Raw genomic sequence first — 18,715 nt, forward strand, 5'->3', positions numbered from 1 at the left:
GGCTGGGGCTGGGTGAGGACACATAGGTGTCCTGTGTGAAGAGCAAAAGAGGCAGCCAACTGGAAAGGTTATGAATATGAGTGACGTTGATCTTACTGGGGGAAATAGTATACTGTCACTGTTAAATATTAGTACTTGAAGGCAGCAAACACTATAAAAGGGAAGAGTTTTAAAATTTACACACAAAACTATACACTTATGCTAGCATCTAATTTTGCCTGAAACTATCACATCAATTTGCTCATCGTTCTTCATTGCTAATAGACCATCATACTCCAAACAAATATCATCTAATATTAAAAAGAAAAAAAGTCTAATGATGCCACAGAGTGGGATTTGTCAGACTGGCTCTCATTTTTATATGCAAGGGACGCTGAGCAATCCATTTCTTACAGCTAATGAAACACAATTATTTCTGCATCATGGCAGTGGTTTGCTATACATTTTTAAAAACCATCTTTCTCTCTCTCTCTCTCTCTCTCTTTTTTTTTTTTTTTTTGAGACAGGGTCTTGCTCTGTCGCCCAGGCTCGAGTGCAATGGCACAATCATAGTTCACTGCAGCCTCGACCTCCTGGGTTCAAGCAATCCTCCTTCCTCAGCCTCCTGAGTATCTGGGACCACAGGCAGATGCCACCATAGCTAGCTAATTTCTATTTTTTGTAGAGATGGGGTTTCACCATGTTGCCTAGGCCGGTCTCAAACTCCTGGGTTCAAGTGATCCTCCCACCTCAGCCTCCCAAAGTGCTGGGGTTACAGGTGTGAGCCACCACACCTGGCCTCCATCTTCATCTTTGTCTTAGCCTGACAAGTCACTAAATTATCAGAACCTCAACTTTTTAAATAAGGAATTAGGAAAATGAGAAATTCAATAACAACAGAAAACTCATGGTTATTAATGGTTACAGAAAGAAAATGCAAACTTTCTCCCTCTGAAGATTGTGAGAAATAACTGAAAATGTTTCTGTAGCTATAGAATTAAAAAACAGGGACACTTTTAGTTTTACAACTATTATTTGAAAGCAAATAATATCAAAGGATGTGAAAGAAAAGACATATTTATGTCTTAAATGTAAGGCAAAATATGTATGAAATTGAAATTGGACAACAGTCGTATCTGGATTTCTTTGCCACTGCACATTATTTAGTCAACAGTAGCATGTGCAAAACTGTAACTGAAAAGGCAATTAACTAATCATGATCCGTGACAATAAGAAGAAATAAGCTAAACTGTACTCAGGCTTGAAATTTGTCAGATGACCTGTGGAAAGGTAAACTATTTGTGTAATGGAGGCAGCACCAGAATGTGTATGGAAGGCTTGCATGTCATTTTCTCCCCATCACTCAGAAGCCTGGGAGTTAATTTCACTGGGCTTCAGTGTTCTCATCTGACACTGAGTTAAACAATATCTAAATTCCTTTCCACCTTAACATCATAAGATTCTGCCTACACTATTAGCACAACCACTTGGCTGTTTTGATTTTTAAAAACCTAATTTACTAAACACTTTTTTGGACTATTGATCTGTTACATGGGAGCCCATTTTATTATTATTTTTAAATTTCTGGTTGAAACCTCTTTGCAAGTCCTAATGAGTAACTAGGTTTGGGAGACAATTATCAATGGCTGCTAACATTCAAAAAGTAGGACGGCCAGACATTATGAGCCTCCAAGTGGATTATCCATCACCACCTAGGTGGCAGGTTTACTCTCGCACGCACGCACGCATGCGCACTCAATCTCTGTCGCTCTCTCTCTCTCTCTCTCTCTCTCTCTCTCTATATATATATATATCTTTTGAGATTATATATATATATATATATTTTCAGGTTTTATATATATATTCAGGTTTATATATATATATATATATTTTCAGGCTTTATATTTATATCTAATCTAATCAAGACCCCAGATCTAATGATCAATTTATAGGAATACAGATTTAATGACACAGCAGAGATGAAATCGGCAAAAGCCACGCTGTGAGAAATTAATAGACAAAGGGGCTCAGTTGCTTTAGCAAAAAAATTACAAGAAAAAAAGGAGATATGAAGGAGAAATCTATAGATTCAAACAGATTTGAGACATACTGACTAACTGCAACGTATGTACTTTATTTGGATACAGACTCAAATGAATTGCAATAAAGAAGACTTTAGGGGAAAGTGAACAGTGACCATGTGTTTAATTATTCTAAGGACTTGCCATAATTTTATGTGTGTGAGATAAATGGTATTTAAAGACACTCTTTTACTGATGCATGTTAAAATATTTATGAATGAAATTATATAATATCTGGGGTTTGCCTTCAAGATAATATGGACAAAGCGTGCAGAGGGCTATAATTTTAACAAATTGGCCAAAGGTTGATAATTGCTGAAGCTGAGTGATAGGTACACAGAGGTTCATTATACTATTATTATTTTTGTTGATGTTAGAAATTTTCAATAATAAAAAAGTTTATAAGAATCTTTTTTGAAAAACTACCTTTAAGGTTTCATAAGTTCTGAAAATGGTAAAGATGTTTTCAAATTTAAATATGCAGTGAAAAGTTTCTGCTACTACATAACTATAAATTTTCCTCTCTGAGATAAAATGGATAAAATATCCACCAATACAATCGTTGCAATTCTTTCCTTGATAGACTAGATTACCCTAAACAAAGATCTAAGAAAGTTTAGAGACTTTCATAACCAACCACGATATGGAAAAATACATCAGAATAAGAGAAAAGCAAGTTCAAAAGATTTTCACCTGTCATTCAAAAATAAAAATGCCTCCTTATAGTAAAAGGGGATTCAACAAGCATTTATTAAACACCTACCATGTGTCAAGCAGTCTTGGCATACTCCCTTATAAATATAATGCCAATGTTTCTTCTATCATATTCATCCATTGGTACACAAAATTCAACTCAGTAACTACTTCAAATACTTTCTGGAAGCAGAAATGTGAAGAATGCAAATACCAAATAAACATATATATACACATATATATACACACACATATATATACACACACATATACATATACACATATATACATACGTGTGTGTGTGTGTGTGTGTGTGTGTGTGTGTGTGTGTGTGTGTGTATGTATATATATATATATATTTTTTTTTTTTTTTAATAGTCTCTTTCTGTAGCCCAGGCTGGAATGCAGTCATGTGATCATGGCTCACTGCAACATCTGCCTCCCGGGTTCAAGCACTTCTCATGCCTCAGCCTCCTGTGTAGCTGGGATTACAGGTATGTGCCAGCACGCCCAGCTAATTTTTGTTTTTTTGTTTTTAGTAGAGACAGGGTTTCACCATGATGGCCAGGCTGGTCTCGAACTCCTGGGCTCAAGCTATCCACCTGTCTTGGCCTCCCAAAGTGCTGGGATTATAGGCATAAGCCACCATGCCTGGCCTGCTACTGGAAATTCTGTCAGAACACTGAGAGATACTATTTCTCTCTTTCAGGGAATTACTTCAATTTAGCAAGCTATTCATTATTCTCACATCTGCTCTTCTATGAAGCCCCACATCCCCATGGGACTGGCCTCTTTGTGCCCCACTCTTCTTCAGATGCTTACTTTGCAGAGCACCTGGACACTTTGCTGAACTCGGGTTTGCATGTCCCCTTTCTGCAGTGTGAGCTTACTGAAAGCAGGGACCCTGTCTGATTTGTCTCTGTATATCGTCAGTGCCTTGGACAGTGTTTTAGTAACAATGGGGTGCCAATAAAGACAGAATGAATGAAGAATAGAAGGAAGAAAGAAGGAAGGAGAGAAAGAAGGATGGATAGATAGATGGATATGAACCAACCGATGGAGAGATGGGCCCTCTTTTCCTTAACTGTACATGCAGGAAGATTACAAAAGCCATGTATCCTTTATCAGAAGCAGCCATCCTTGTTAGGGGACCATGCCTCTCCAGGGGATTCAAAATCCCCTCAAAAATGGCAACTAAACATGGCTGCTGAAACCACTGGGCTCTCCTGGTCTTGAAATGGAAGGCTTTTAATTCAGTAAGTGTGTTGGGGGGAACAGTCTCCAGAAGAGAAAATGCCCCTTCTGAGCAGGTGATGACATAATGCTAAATGGGAAGACCATTCCGCCCAACCTCCTAATCCTCTGTACCAGGAATTGCAGCACCATATGCCTTTAGCTGAGGGGTCAGACAGGGTGAACTGTCCATATTACTGACTTGGAATGAGAGAAGTCAATTTGTTTCAATAGTTCTAAAGATACAAGAGGCATTACTCCTCTGATCTTCCAGCTCTGAGAGCATAGCTAAAATGGCAGGACACCAATATGTCAAGACTTTTCCAAAGAGGTTGTCTAATACTTCCCCAGATCTCCTCCTCTGCATCAGTAGAGGAACTCCAAAGTAATTTCCAAATGCAGTCACAATGCCTCAGCCAACATGCTATCGCTCAGTATGCAAGCAACCTCCAAGCAACTGATACTAACTGGTTATGTCTCAACAGTTATCTTGACTAACAGTGAGAGCTACCATTTATTATGGGTCTGCTATGGAGCAAGGTGGTTTATGCACATTATTGCTACTGGAACTTGTAATGAATTTATTCATGGAAATAATGTTATAATGACCCAATTTGGTCCTCTCTCCAAAAAATCCCATTTAATCCACAATGTCCCTGACATAGAGTATTGTTATTATGGGATCTAATTACCAGGTACAATAGTTATTCCAGAGTACAGGAGAAGACACCAGGGCAGCTAGAATTCTAACACGGATTTTGAAAGCAATAGTAATTTCCACTAATGGGAGATCAAGGACACCTTCTCCCCTCCCAGTAGTACTCATCAGCTGGGCCATGTTAATAGAGAATCCCCCTGCCCTGAGCCAGAGAAGGCAACAGGAGCTCCAAGACACCTCGTTTCCCCCCCCAACCCCTTCCAGTGCTTCCTACCATAGACTCTAGGATGGAATGGGGTTCAGGGGTAGTAGGGTCCCAGGCTTTGGCACTGGAGGGAAGGAGCACTGCTGAAGCCACTGGATAACCAGCAAGTGCTGCTGTTTCTCGGTATGTCAGGCTACATCATCCAGAGCTGCTGAGACACCAAGTGAAGGAAGTCGCTTGAGCACTTCTCTGCAAATGGCGTTACCTCCAAATCAGACACTTGTCTAATCATACTACTGGTTAAATAAATGAGACACAAACTAACACGAGAACACCACTCAAGTCAGGTTTTTCCAAATGAAAAAGGAAGACATTTAAGAATGATTTGGGCAGGACTAAGCTGCCCTCCTCTTGTCAGAAAGGAAATTCTGCAACCCCAGGTAGTGCTGCACAGTCGAGCCTCCTACAACATTCATGCCCATGACCTTGGCTCAAGACAGCACAAGAGATACACAGACGCCCACAGTTGGGTTAGTGACTGGGAGAACGAAGTTTCCCGGTCCTGACCTTTTGCTCCGTGAGCTGGAAAGGGCAGCAGAGAAGCTGGAGGGAGACCTTCAGGCCCTGGAGAAAGAAAGACCTGAAGTTCGTTGTCACCATCGTAGAAGGACACACATGCTCACCACCCAAGGTGGGACCTGGACTCTCAGTTGTCTTGACCTACTTTTAAGGGGATTGGCATGCACTCATCTTGTCATAGCACTTCACTTCTCACCACCAGTAATTTTTTTTTCTTTGGTAATTTTTCTCCAAGTCCCTCAAGGGATGCTGAGAAATACTGACAATCCCATTTGGTTCATTTTTTAAATAATTATGAACTTACAGTAAGCAACACTCTAGAAGTATATGGAGGCACAGCAACATGGGCCACCCATGAGACAGTATTACCAGGGCATGAAGGCTGGCAGTTACCTATCCAGAGACATACAGAATGTGTGGCTACGGGTCACACCTTTATAGGGATCAACTTCCTAAACCACAGTGGGTTAAGGCAGTATAACCAAAAAAATACTCGTAAGCGTTTACTATAGCCTCTCGGCATAGGATACAGAACAGAAGGGAGGCTGGAGCACAGCCTGCCGGTCCCCCGCCCCTCTCCTGCTTGGTAGGGTAGACTTCCTTACTTGACTTGGATAGCTGCTCATCCTGGGAAATGCCAAGCTCATCCGACTCCCCTGACAGCTCCTTGATGAAGTTGGAAGGAAACATTCCAGTCTTCCCGTTGAGAACACCTTCCCACCATCCTTCCTCTACCTGCAGAGATACAAACAAAAGAGCAGAGATACATGGGTCAGGTTAGACATGGTGGTTTCCAATTTTGCCTCCCATATGTATAGTGTAGCATGCAGAGCCCACACAGGGAGACTGAATGGCTTTAAAGTTAACAGGGAACAAGAAAAAAAGACCACATAGAGCCTTGAGATTCAGGCTAAAGAAGGGGGTGTTTACCTGGGATCCACAAATGCAAACAGACAAAATTAATACTTCATTTTCATTAGCCTCTAACTGAAATTTGGCATCTGCTTTGGTTATGAACGTAGGGTAGGTAACACACCAATATTAGAAGGACCTGTGACTCATCACCAAACAAACCACAGATATTTTCATATCACATCATAGATGCTATGGGTATCTCAAAATATCGTATGTGCTCATTGCTGCTTTGAAATGGTGATAGTTATTACACCTACTGGGAGACCTTTGCTATTTAGTCTATTAATAAGGATACCCATAGATTACTATATCAAAATTTGGTCTTAAAATAATTTGATAACTAGTTCAATATAAATCATTCCCTTTATAATCTTATGCGTTTTATTTTATGCATTTAAAAGCATTATCTAAAAACTGAGAATGGTTTCCCCAGACTACCAAACTAACTAAACAGCCTAAAAAAATATAGTTAAGAATTTATCTGTAGGCTAAGAACTCAATCAGAAAGTGTAAGAGCTTCCTGTACATTTCTGAAGGGTTCTAAGTTACCCTAAGATGAACCGAAAGGGGGTAGGTAGGTAGGAAGGGCAGCGAGACTATGATATCTGGATAAGGAGGGAAGGCTGAGTCGGGGGAGCAGTGAGAATGGATGAGGCAGATTTGGATTCGAGGCCCTTTGAGGTCTGAGCTGGCCTTGAGTGATCAACTAGCAGGGATGGGTGACAGAAGCGTAAAAAAATTGGCCCTGGATTTTGTAATAGAGCCACTAGTAGTACAGCAGAAGTCAGAATAGCAAACTGGCTTCTTGGAGGAAAATAAGGGCAGTTTGAAAACAAGCAAGTATTAAGTTACAAGCTGTATGGTGTGGTATAATACAACCTTTGGAATTGTTTTACCATGTGCACGTACAGACAGTCTCCAATTTACAATAGGTCGACTTAGGATTTTTGACTTTATGATGATGCAAAAGTGATATGCATTCAGTAGGAACCATACGTCAAATTTTGAATTTTGATCTTTTTCTGGACTAGCAATAGGTAGTATGATACTTCTATAATGCTGGGCAGCAGAAGTAAACCTCAGCTCCCAGTCAGCCATGTGATCATGAGGGTAAACAACCGACACTCTTCAGTATACTGTTTTGCCAAATGACTTTGCCCAACTATAGGCTAATGGAAGTGTTGTCAACACATTTAAGGTAGGCTAGGCTGAGCTATGCTGTTTGGTAGGTTAGGTGTATTAAATACATTTTCAACTTATGATATTTTCAACTTATGATGGGTTTATTGGGACATAATCCCATTTTAAGTTGAGGAAAGTCTGTATTACCAATCCAAATTAATAAATACAATGTAAAAGCTAAAATAATTTAAACAAAAAAGAAAAAGAAAATTTGAGTCAAAAGTCCAGTTCGAATTTTTTCTATCCTGAAACTTAGTAGTTGTGTGACGTTATGCAAATTTGTCCTACCAAAATGAACCCCGTTTTATTCCTATCTGCATGATGGGAATAATTAACACACTTCACAGTTGTCGTCTTTAGGGCAGCATCTCAATCTGTGTTAGAAGTATATATGCATTACAAATCTTCACTAGGGGCTGCGGGACATAGAACTGTATAGGACAAGTCCTTAGTTCTCCTCAAGAAGTGAATACTCTACCAAGATAGAAAGGTATGACTAAACATTAGCAATGCAATGTAAACAGATGAGAAAAGACCATGACTTAGCACACATCAAACTTGTTACACAAAGTTGAGCTCACTGAGATCTGGGGTGCTAAAGGAAGGCTTTGAGAAAAAAGAAATCAAAATTAAGGTAGGCTTTTAGAAGAAGAAATGGCAGCCATACTTAGGGGACAGGTGTGTATGAGAAAGGGGGTTGCTGATGGAGCCTGTGGAATGGAGATAACCAGAACGATAAGTTTAGAGCATTTATAAGGAAACTTGTAGGATACAGACTTACAGAGTGGCAATTACATTTGCACAATCACAAAATCTTCGGGAGAGAATCCAGATGACGGCATTCATGCACAACTGTCCCAACGACTATTTGATACCAAATCGTGGCATTTCGCAGCATTTCCACTGAAATCATTCCATGTTTCTATGCCAACTCAACTGACACATATTATTTTTTCAAGGAGCTTTTTATAGGCTTAGATGGTTAGGAAGATTCACCATGAGTCTCAGTATCAATAGTCACAGGATTTGTGGAGTGGAGTCCTTTGTGCTGGTACTGAATAAGAAACCAGAAAATGTCCTTCTCTCTCCCAGGAGTCACATAGCAGGAGGAGAAAATCAAGGGCATGAACCACAAATGAGCAGTCCCTGGCATAATCCCCAACAGCACGGGGCAGCTGGGCCAATTCCAACCCACTTAGTTTGAAGATGTCTGGAACATTCCTATTCCTAGTAATAAGTGGCTCCTGCCCAAGATCCCTGAGGGAAGCCTTCCTGATGTGTAGGAAAAGCAGGCTGTCTGCTGGGAAAACAGACGTATCTTCACCTCACCACACCCTCAGATGCCAGTATCACTGTCACAGCACAGTCTGAGAAGAGTGGCCTATGGGAAAATGGCAGAGGCCTATCATTAACCACGCAGTAAGTGGAGGGGCAGACAATAAAACCACTGCTCATCGCCTGGGGACACACTTCCCATCACAGGTGCACCATGGGCACGATGCTCATTTTTCTGTGAGCTGGAGCCCTTCATGGGGGTGGTGGGGGTGGCCCCAGTACCAGTGAGAGTCGTTCAGTACTATTTCCTTCTATAGCCAGGCCAGCTGTTTTGGTCTCGAGACTGAGGCTGGAGATAAGAGAAAAATGATACCTCACACTATCCCTCTTCAGAGATATTCTAGTTCAACTTCCTGTGTAAAGACGAGGACACGGACACTGCCATGTGATTTCATTCATTCATTCATTCACTCATTCTAAGAGTAAAGCACAGTGCCTCACACATTGAATGAATGAATGAATGAATGAATGAATGAATGGCAGAGACATTATTGGGAAAAATCCTCCATGGGGGCCTAAAGAGCCCTGATTTCCCCCACAGAAAAAGGTTTCCTTCCTGTGAGGAGCAAAAGGAACTGAGAGATCCTAACTATATTTGCCACTGTTCTTAACTAGGTACTGCCACACCCAGGACTGTGTGGTCCTCCCAATTCCACCAATATTTAGTAAGCACCTATCTTGCACTGCCCCAGTACCTGGGGACAGATTCACTGCTGAACAAAACAGATAAAGACTCCATCCTTGAGAAGTTTCCAACAAGAGAGAGGCAGTTACAGAGCCTGAACAGCCCCTGCTTGGAAATCAAGCTTGCTTATGTTTGCATTTCTATAGTTAAGAAAAGAAAGAAATGCGTCTCTTTGTAACAAAGTAGGGATTACGAATACCACACCAAGGGCTTATAACTTCCACCCCAAGGAAAGGACAATAATAAAAGGGGGCAGATGCCGTTCCCCACTCATAAACAGTCTTCTGCAGGCCTTGGCTCTAGGCTGAGAACAAATCCCACCTGTGTCCCTCTACGACCAACCCAGTCAGCTCTGGAGCCCTTTGATTAGTTTTGCCTCTTCTAGAACTTCACATAAATGTGCTAAGATACAATTTCACCGTGCCCCAAGAGTGAATCTCACCTTTGGCCCAGAGCTGGGAGCAGAGCAGCTTACACCTGGTAGCGTTTGAGAACGATGGAATAAAACCACTTCAACAGTTTCTATCTGAGGGCCTTGCAATTTTCATGTCTTTACAATCAACAGCATCTAAGTGGGTTCAGGGTCCAAGGAAGTAGTTTTTAAATCTTAACCCTGTTGGAGATTGGGCAAACACCTGGGTGAACTTCAATACTCCCATCCCCACCCCTTCTTGCACCCCATTTGTAAGGCACTAAAGAGGAAGTCTGTGACTGAAAAGATGGCGTGCTCCCTGTGAGTGCTTGGCTATTCAGGCCAGTTCCTATTTATCACCCCTGAAGTTTTACCTGTCAACTGGACTGAGAAGGGGTATGGAGGCTTTATCAGGTCTACAGTCTACCCAAGGGCACAAGTAGCAAGACAGAAAAAGTTCATCTAAGGATGACTATAGCTTTTTTTCATCCAGTGAATACTTTGATACCCAAACCCCAGTCAGAAGCACACTGGAGGGGTGGGTTTGAGGGAAGCCTGGGGTTAGGGGGATGCACCCAGACAAACGAAGTCAGCTTCATTGTTTCAAGAGTTGTTTTACCATTCTTCCCATAAAAGAAAAGTGACACATCAAAGTCTAAGGAAAGGCCCACACCTTAAAGCTGCTAAAATTTTCCTCAAATTTTTTTTTCAGGAGTAACTAAATGAAAATTGTAATACTGTTCCTTTCTCTTACTTGGGAAAGGTGTTTTGAGAATTTTTAAAACGCTAAAAAAATGTTAAGACAGCTTTTAAAGCTTTTTTAAAATTGAAGTATAATTTACATAAATGCAGAACTTAACAATACAAGCTGATTAGTTTTGACAAACGCCCATTGTAGCCAACACCTCTATTAACATAAAAAGCATTTCCATCACTCCAGAAAGTTCCCTGTGCCCCTTCCTAGTCAATCCACCTCCAAGCAATCATTAATCTGATTTCTATCACCTTTGATTCATTTTACTTCTTCTAGAACTTCATATAAATGTGCTGAGACATAATTTAACTTTTTAAATATCGCTGAAAATAATACAAATTATTTCTGGTAAACATGTTTTTCTATCAGTAGAACTGGTGAAAAAAAAATATATCTTTAAGGGGGGCATTTCCTGAAGGCATAAACACCTACACTATTTTCAATCTCAGAGGATGTGGGAAAGCTGGCTATGCCAAATATAAACAAGCATTATCTAGGTCCTAAATGGCTGGACCAATATTTTCCCCTAATTCTTGTGTAGTTCATTGTATGATTACCTCTTTCTGGCTGGGCCAGAACATTCCATTCACATAGGGAAGCTGATTTTCATTCCCTCCCCTCACTCTTCTGAGAACAAGGCTATTCTACATGAGAGGCGGCCCTCGAAGAGAAATCTGTAGAGTAATTGGAAGGGAAGTCATTTAAGAAAACATATACAATTTCTATTTAAGACTTAGGCCAACTGCCCAACAAGACAGAGCAACATCCATGATTTTTCATCAGAGTGGAAAGGGTTTCTGGTAGAGCTTTCGGAAACTTCCTTCAGCAGTGCTTGATAATCCTGTCCTTCAAAAACAGCCACAGGTCCCCAAATTCCTAAGTGAGTCCAATACTAAGGTCTTTCTATCATTCCAATTAAAAAATATGAACAAATGGTAACACAAGCCAGCAAGATAACCTTTCTGATGAATCAAGATCCTCAAGTTTTCTCCCATTGCTATTTCCAGGTGAGAAAATGGTTATGGGGATATGTTCACCTGGGAAACCTCCAGATTAGGAATCTTTAAACAGGCGCTCCTTTGAAAGTTCAGTGTGGCCAGCACTATAACTTTGATCTCAACCCCATTTCATTGCATCCACCAGCACCTGCTTTCTATACTCTACACCTAAAGTATTAGGGGAGGTCTGCATTAGGGGAGGTCCCAAAGTTTCACAGGTCCTCCCCTAATGCAGAGCAAGGCTCTACTAACACCATGTCCTCCTTCCTCCAGCACCTAACACAAATACCACTCACCATCTGCATCTTCAGTTGAAACCTCACCTATTCTACAAAGCATCTTCTTCACCCTCTGTGACTACTCCTATTTTTAAATTCCTCTCTCGTTCGTCAATGCCATCATTTGCCACTCTGGTAACATCTTGGGTTGATAGTTACCTTAGCTGTGTATATCTTGCCCTCCCTCACTAGACTGAGCATGTTTCAAGGGACAGGTTCTGTTCAATCAATCCCCAAATCTCAATAAACACAGTTTCTCTCAGAGTGTAAGCACTGAAATATTTGATAAATCCCACAGCTATGCAAATCTATTATAAATACCTTTAAACTTGCAAATATGCTACTTTTATATGATTGCAGCCTGTTTTGCATGCTGATGATTCAAATCTAATCAACTTTCTCTTCTAAACACGGCTTCCTTCTCCTTAATATGAATGTTTTACCATCTCTGCACATTAGGAAATCAGAGGTTTTCACCTCAAAGTTATTTGGAGAAATAATTGTAGAACAGCCCAAGCTCTTTGGATTATCAAATTCCAATAAGCAGATATTTTATATTAATGTTATCTTCTTTTTGCAAAGAGATACACACCCTTCTAAAGCAAGGCGATTATCTTAACAGGTCAGAACTTCAGTATGCTTCGATCACCTATTAACTGATCAGCCTTTGAATAAACTTGACTTCTCATGGGCAAAAAATGACATGAGGATGTGGGCCTATCCACACCCACAAAAGTTGTCTGACTGATTTAAAGTTTTGATGACGTTCAAGGGCCTATTTAACTCTAGCTGAGTGGACCAAATATTCCATGGGCACAAGAAGGAAGATGCAAAAGTACTTTGAAAGTGGAAGTTATCATCTTTGCAAGCCACAAAACCAGGTTAGGCTTTAAGCCAGCCTGACTGGGGGCCACTGAGAAACACCCCAAAAAGTAACCATAAAGAACACATAAAAGCAAGAATCTTTGAACATCCCTTGGGCCACGACTGAGAGACTGGCTAAGACCAAGCTAATCCAACACAAGAGGAAAAGTGGCTCCTTTCCCAGGCTCTAGATAACATAGAAAAACAAAGTGGCTTCAATGCACTTTAAAAAAAAAACAAAAAACAAAACGAAACAACAACAATGACAAAAACACATCATAAGCCAAAAAGCCTGCATAAAAATTCCAGGGGCCTTCAAATGCCATTTCTCCTGTAAATCTCATTCACACGCCATCTCTGTTCTTCCTATAATTAGAACTTTGCCTGTATTTATTTGTCTTCTCCACTCAGGATAAAAATGACCCAGTGTGTATTCACAATGATTTCTTTAAAAATATCAATCCAGGAATTCACAGCCTGCTACTTTCCTTTTGAATTGGCAGTCTGGTTCCTTTAGGTTCACAATGATGATTTCTTTTCACAGCACAACCACCACTCTCCAGCCAGGAGCCAGAAGCATGGCAGGTGCTTTCTTGGCAGGTGCTTTGCTTTGCCAACTCCACTATGCCCACACTGCCCTGAGCACTCCCTTCCTTCCCTAAACCACGCTTTGGAGGCTGGCTCAGGCTGAGCATTCAGGGCTGGTAGACTCGCTCCTGCCAGGTGAGCAAGCTGTTCACCCGACTAAGGGTCAAGGTTGTTTCTACCTAAACCTGCTTAAGCCTTTTGCTCATTAATGGTAGCACACATTTGGTTAAATTGCACAAAAATATACAGGTGTGAAGAGAAAGAGTTGGTGGTGAGGAGGGATAAAGGTAATGATCTGAATGTTTAAAAAAAAAAAACTGTTGCCAAATTTGGTGTGAAGGCAACAACTAAAGAAGATAAGGGGTTGGAGGCGGGTGGGGGGCTGTAGAACTTGAGAAGGAAACCAATGGGAATCATAGAGGATGCACTATGGATGCAGAGATAGATGGAACTCAAACCAGCAAACCCATATTTAGGGAAGTGGCCTTGGCCCCATGTCATAAGATTGTATTGATAAATGATGAATGAATATTCATTTTGATATTTTAAGCTAAAATTAGATATTAAGGCAGATGTTTTAGGACTTTAGGATTCTCTACTTGATTCAACTCTTTCAAAAAAACTAGTCCATACATTCAAAATCCTCCTAAGGCTTATCTGTCAGGGCAAAAAGAGAAACTGTGTGTGTGTGTGTGTGTGTGTGTGTGTGTGTGTGTGTGTGTGTGTGTGTGTGTGTGTGTGTACAGCTTTGCAAAATTAGAGAAATCCATCTATTAATCAATAAAAATATAATATATACATACACAATACATGTTATATTTTATTAATAGATTAATCCTACAGTATTGCAAAACTATTATGTTCTTGCTTTGATCTCTCTGTGATTTAGGGGTTTTTGTTTATTGCTTTTTTCTGTTTATTTTTAATCATCAGTGGAATTAGAGAGGAGCTACATTTAGCATTTATATAACATTCACTATAAGAGAAAAGGACAGATTTTATATTATACAGTGACAAGGGCCCAGTCTCTGCAATATAACAAGTAAACTGGAACAATGGGGAGTTTTTGATCGTATTTTAAAACTTTGGATTAAAAGGCCAGCCTTTACGTTTTGTTTTATGTAAATATCATAGACTATATGGTTATTTTTTCCTTTTTCCTATTTGAAGCAAGTCCAGAATGACGAACAGGATTTAGCTGGCAGCGAATAATAGAAAGGAGGCTGGTATTGTAGATGATGGCAAAGGCCTATCAGCCTCTAGGCAAATCCAGTAACAGCTCTGCGAGTGCTCCTCTTTCTCCTTTAAGCAATCAACGTTCAGTTTCTCTGCAGCCAATAGGCAGGCAAAAGTGGGCAATATTTCTGAGAAATGTATTAATCATTTTCCTTGTCTTGACTTGTGGTTTTTCTTAATGCATTATTACAATATTAAAAGAAAAGTTATCTTCTATGACAGAAGCATTTTCAATTCTTGTTCCCTTTCAGTCTTTGATCACAAGCATATAGATATATTTTACATGGTTTTATCCTAGTGTATGCAATTTTGTGTTCTGATTTGTTCAATTTGCAAAAAACTCTTTTTGTATTTCCATTGATTCATTTACTTATTCAGCAAGCATTTATTAAAGTGCAGATTAGGTTTCAGGCACTATTCTAGGTACCACAAATATAAAAATAGATAAAAATCAGGTCCCTGCCATTGAAAAGCTCTCAGCTTAGAATATAACAGATCATTACAATGCAAAGTATCATAACAAATACATATCTAAAAACCTCTGTGTTTACCATCTTAATGGCTTCACAACGTTCTACTTGGAAAATACAACTTAATTCTCCTTCTTATTTTTCATTATCACAAATACTGCTGTAATTAACACGTTTCACATGTTTCTTCTTTCATTAATCAGTTTCTGTGGATAAATTCTCAGGAATGAGATCACTGAGTCAAAAAGTGTTATTCAGATATTGATAGCTTTTGACATACCTTGCCAAATAGCTTCATAATACAGACATACAAATTCACCAGTTCTTCTATGCCTTGCCAACAGCTTAACCACTAAATATTTTCTTAGGATTTTCATAAGTAAAAACCCATTATTGTCTTAATTTGTATTTATTTAATTAACAGTCGAGTGGAACATTTTCTTGTGGTTAAGACTTTTTTCTCCGTCTGGGATCTGTGTTTATGGCAAATTTATCTACTATTTATCATTGTTATAATAGCTTCCTAATATTTTCACATACTACATATATAATAACTTCTGTCATAATTTATTGCAAATGTTTTCCTATTTATTGTTCTCTTTCCTTAGCTGGACTAGCTTCAAATCGTACCAAAATCTTAACCATTTTTCTTATTAGTCACATCTGTTTATTTTTTCTTCTGGAATTTCTTTCCATGGTTACAGCCTTAAGAAATTTGTCATTCTACCACCGAAATAAATGTTCTCTGTTGTCCATTCATTTTTTCACTCATTCAACTTTCAATAAATGTCTCCTATGTGCCCTGCTTGCCACCAGGGGTAAAAAAGGATGAATGACATGTTAATTATCCAAAATTCGGAAGTAGGTAAAAGGGGTTCCTGCATGCCCTCCCAGTGCCACACTGGGGACCCCATTAATTGCTTCTGGAGGGACATGTATCTCTGCTTGGCACACTATGTACTATTTATGAGGCTAGTTTACAACTCTGTTACTGTGGATGTCAACTGGTGAAAACTGAGAGCACTGCAAATGATTCTTGCCAGGTAGTAACAAAAATAAATTTTGACGAGCAGAAATGCAAAGGATTTGTCCCCTAGAAAAGATAACCTCAAAGGTTACAGTTTTATTGCACTGTAGGGCACTATGTAGTTTTGCATGTAACTTAGCAATCTTAAATTTTTTCAGTCATTATCTTTGCTCTTTCACAATTCTCTTCAGGCCAGCCTTACCATCTTACAGATCCCTTCATTAATGAGTTAAATAAAACTCTGACACATGTTCACATTAGGTTATGTATGAGAGCTAGGAAATCTGGCTTCTAGCATCACCCCTGCCACTTCCACTCACATGACAGCTCCCTTAAAGTCATCCTCAACTTCTAGCTTCCTTTTCTATGAATTGTGGGTTTCTGTAAGGTCAGAGGGTATCAGCAAGCAATAAGCAAATGGAAAACTGTGTTTCTAGATATAGATACAACTGTTGAATCAGAATGAATGATAAGGTTCTAAGCCTGAAACCCAGGATCCCCTAGGCCTGAGGGAATCTGGAGGGACATTTCACTAGCAGGAATAAGAGAATGTGGTACAGCAGGAAGAGTGAGGGTCTCCAGTCACAGGGACCAGGCTTGGCCATCAGCCCTGCGTCTTCTAGGGTCTCTTGATCCTCCTTCCTCATCCCGCACAATAAACCGTGTGGGCTGAGGAAATGGGCTAATGCTTAAAGAATCTTGTCACATCTGCCACATACTAGGTCTTCTAAGAAATGTCACTCCTTTTTTTGCCCTCTAAATCCACAGCGTCCCCCACAATGAATACTAAATCCATGCTCTAAAGATGGATCTGGGTCACTCTGGATGCCCAGAGTCTATGCTCAATTCAAGTAGAAGAGAAACTTGGTGGCACTGCGTTGGAAATTCGGAGGTATTTAGTAAGCTGTGTTAGAGACAATGCTTTCCAATGGCCCCAGGTATGAACTCAGCTGGCTTGGGGGCATTCCTCTGGGGAAAGCCATTTTCTCAGACAGGAGACTCAACTAGAGGATCCCTAACTTCAAGGCCAAACAGCCTGTGAGTCTGTAGCAAGGCGTCTTCATGGGTGGGTAAGCAGTGACTATGACAGCCCATTCGAGGCCATTGCACTGCCCGGCCAGGTCGCTTACCTCTCCTACCACCTCTATGATGTCGCCAACTTTCAGCTCAAGTTCATCGTCATTCTGGGGCAGGTAGCTGAATGCCACCTGGCACCGGCGCCTCCGTCGCTCGCCTGGATGGGAAAAGCAAAATATTTAGAGACAGCTCTTCTCCCCAAATCAGATTTTAAAGAGAGGCTTCCTAGGCATGCAGGCAAATTAAGCTGACTTGTCTCAAATATGCTCTCTGGGACATGGCTTGAGGCACGGCAGCCCTGGTCTCTTAGAGAGAGGCAGTAGAAAGCAGAGCAATGCTTCTTGGTCTTTTAAAAGCTGCTGGGTCAGAAAGGCATGGATATGAGAAACCGATCCATTGGTGCAGAAGGCAAATACCCCACCCCTGAAGCACTGGAGCACAGTGTTGCCTTAAACGGTTTTCCATAGATGGGGCTTTGTATTTGCTGCTGTTGATTTTTAATGGAAGCTGATGTGATGTGGTAGAGAAAAAAGAATGGTCTGCTTCTAATGCTAGCAAGGCAGAGGGGATTTTTCTAAATGTGCAAAGGAAAGATAAAGTATCCTGGCCTTTTTCTTACTAATCGTCACCCTTTCAACATACGGGAACTCAAGCCTGATAAGTGAAGGCTGATTAGATTTCAGCCTGCTCTTGGTACCATTTCAAACACCCCCACAGGATTCAACAAATCTACTTCTGTCCTCTTCCCTCTGTCCCAGGGGATCCATTAACAGGATCCCCAGCTACTTACGCAGAACCAAGCCAGACAAATCAAGATAAGAGCCAGGGCCACACTTCACTCAACCAGAGGACACTCAGGGTTACAACATCTCACTCACCCAGCATGTCCTATCTGGGAGACCCTGGCTTAGAGCTGGTTCAAGTACAGACACAACTGTCCACAGCATATCCACACCACAGATGTGCACTATGTGGAGAAAGAACGTGTATGGGGGTGAGGGTGAGACAGACAGACAGACAGACAGACAGACAGACAGACAGACAGCAGTGGAGGCCCAAGCCAGGGAGGTGGATGGGAGGTAGGAAGTGAGACCGACATTGCTCAGAAGTTTGTCGTTCATGGCTGACCGCCTCACACCATTCCTTCATGCCACTGCATGGCCTAGAAAACCAAAGGGATCAATGACTTCAAAGAAACACATTTAGAAATGCTTAAATTATTTTTTAGCACTGCCTACAGGGATTCTTTTTCTTCTCTAATCTTTTCTCTGAGAAAGGAAGTCCATGCAGAGGTGATCACAGGGCACATTAAGGCCCCAATGCAGGATGACATCATATAAAGGGGAAGGTCTCTGTGCTACATCGGATGTGTGCCCTGATCAATATGTTTCAAAAGCCGGCAGCCTAGTTCTCTCTGTTCCATTTTTCTTGCCTGTACCTCACTAAGCAAGAACAGAGTTGAATAG

The 18,715-nt window shown here is 40.6% G+C and overlaps 1 protein-coding gene across 27 annotated transcripts in view; it reads right to left on the reverse strand.

Moving 5' to 3' along the window:
* Positions 1–18,715, reverse strand: part of SH3KBP1 (SH3 domain containing kinase binding protein 1) — a 353,624-nt gene that overhangs the window by 155,602 nt on the left and 179,307 nt on the right. For 18 of the 27 annotated variants that reach the window (NM_001353890.2, NM_031892.3, NM_001353892.2 and 15 more), the window contains 2 exons: positions 17,303–17,406; positions 6,034–6,163 (listed from right to left, as the gene is read on the reverse strand). In NM_001353890.2, coding sequence (NP_001340819.1) covers positions 6,034–6,163; positions 17,303–17,406 — 234 coding nt within the window. Of the gene's footprint in view, positions 1–5,416; positions 5,474–6,033; positions 6,164–17,302; positions 17,407–18,715 lie in introns of all 27 variants that reach the window. The other 9 variants (NM_001410757.1, NM_001410756.1, XM_017029460.2 and 6 more) reach the window with 1 other exon arrangement.

This window comes from Homo sapiens, chromosome X, assembly GCF_000001405.40.
Source record: "Homo sapiens chromosome X, GRCh38.p14 Primary Assembly".
NCBI lineage: Eukaryota > Metazoa > Chordata > Mammalia > Primates > Hominidae > Homo > Homo sapiens.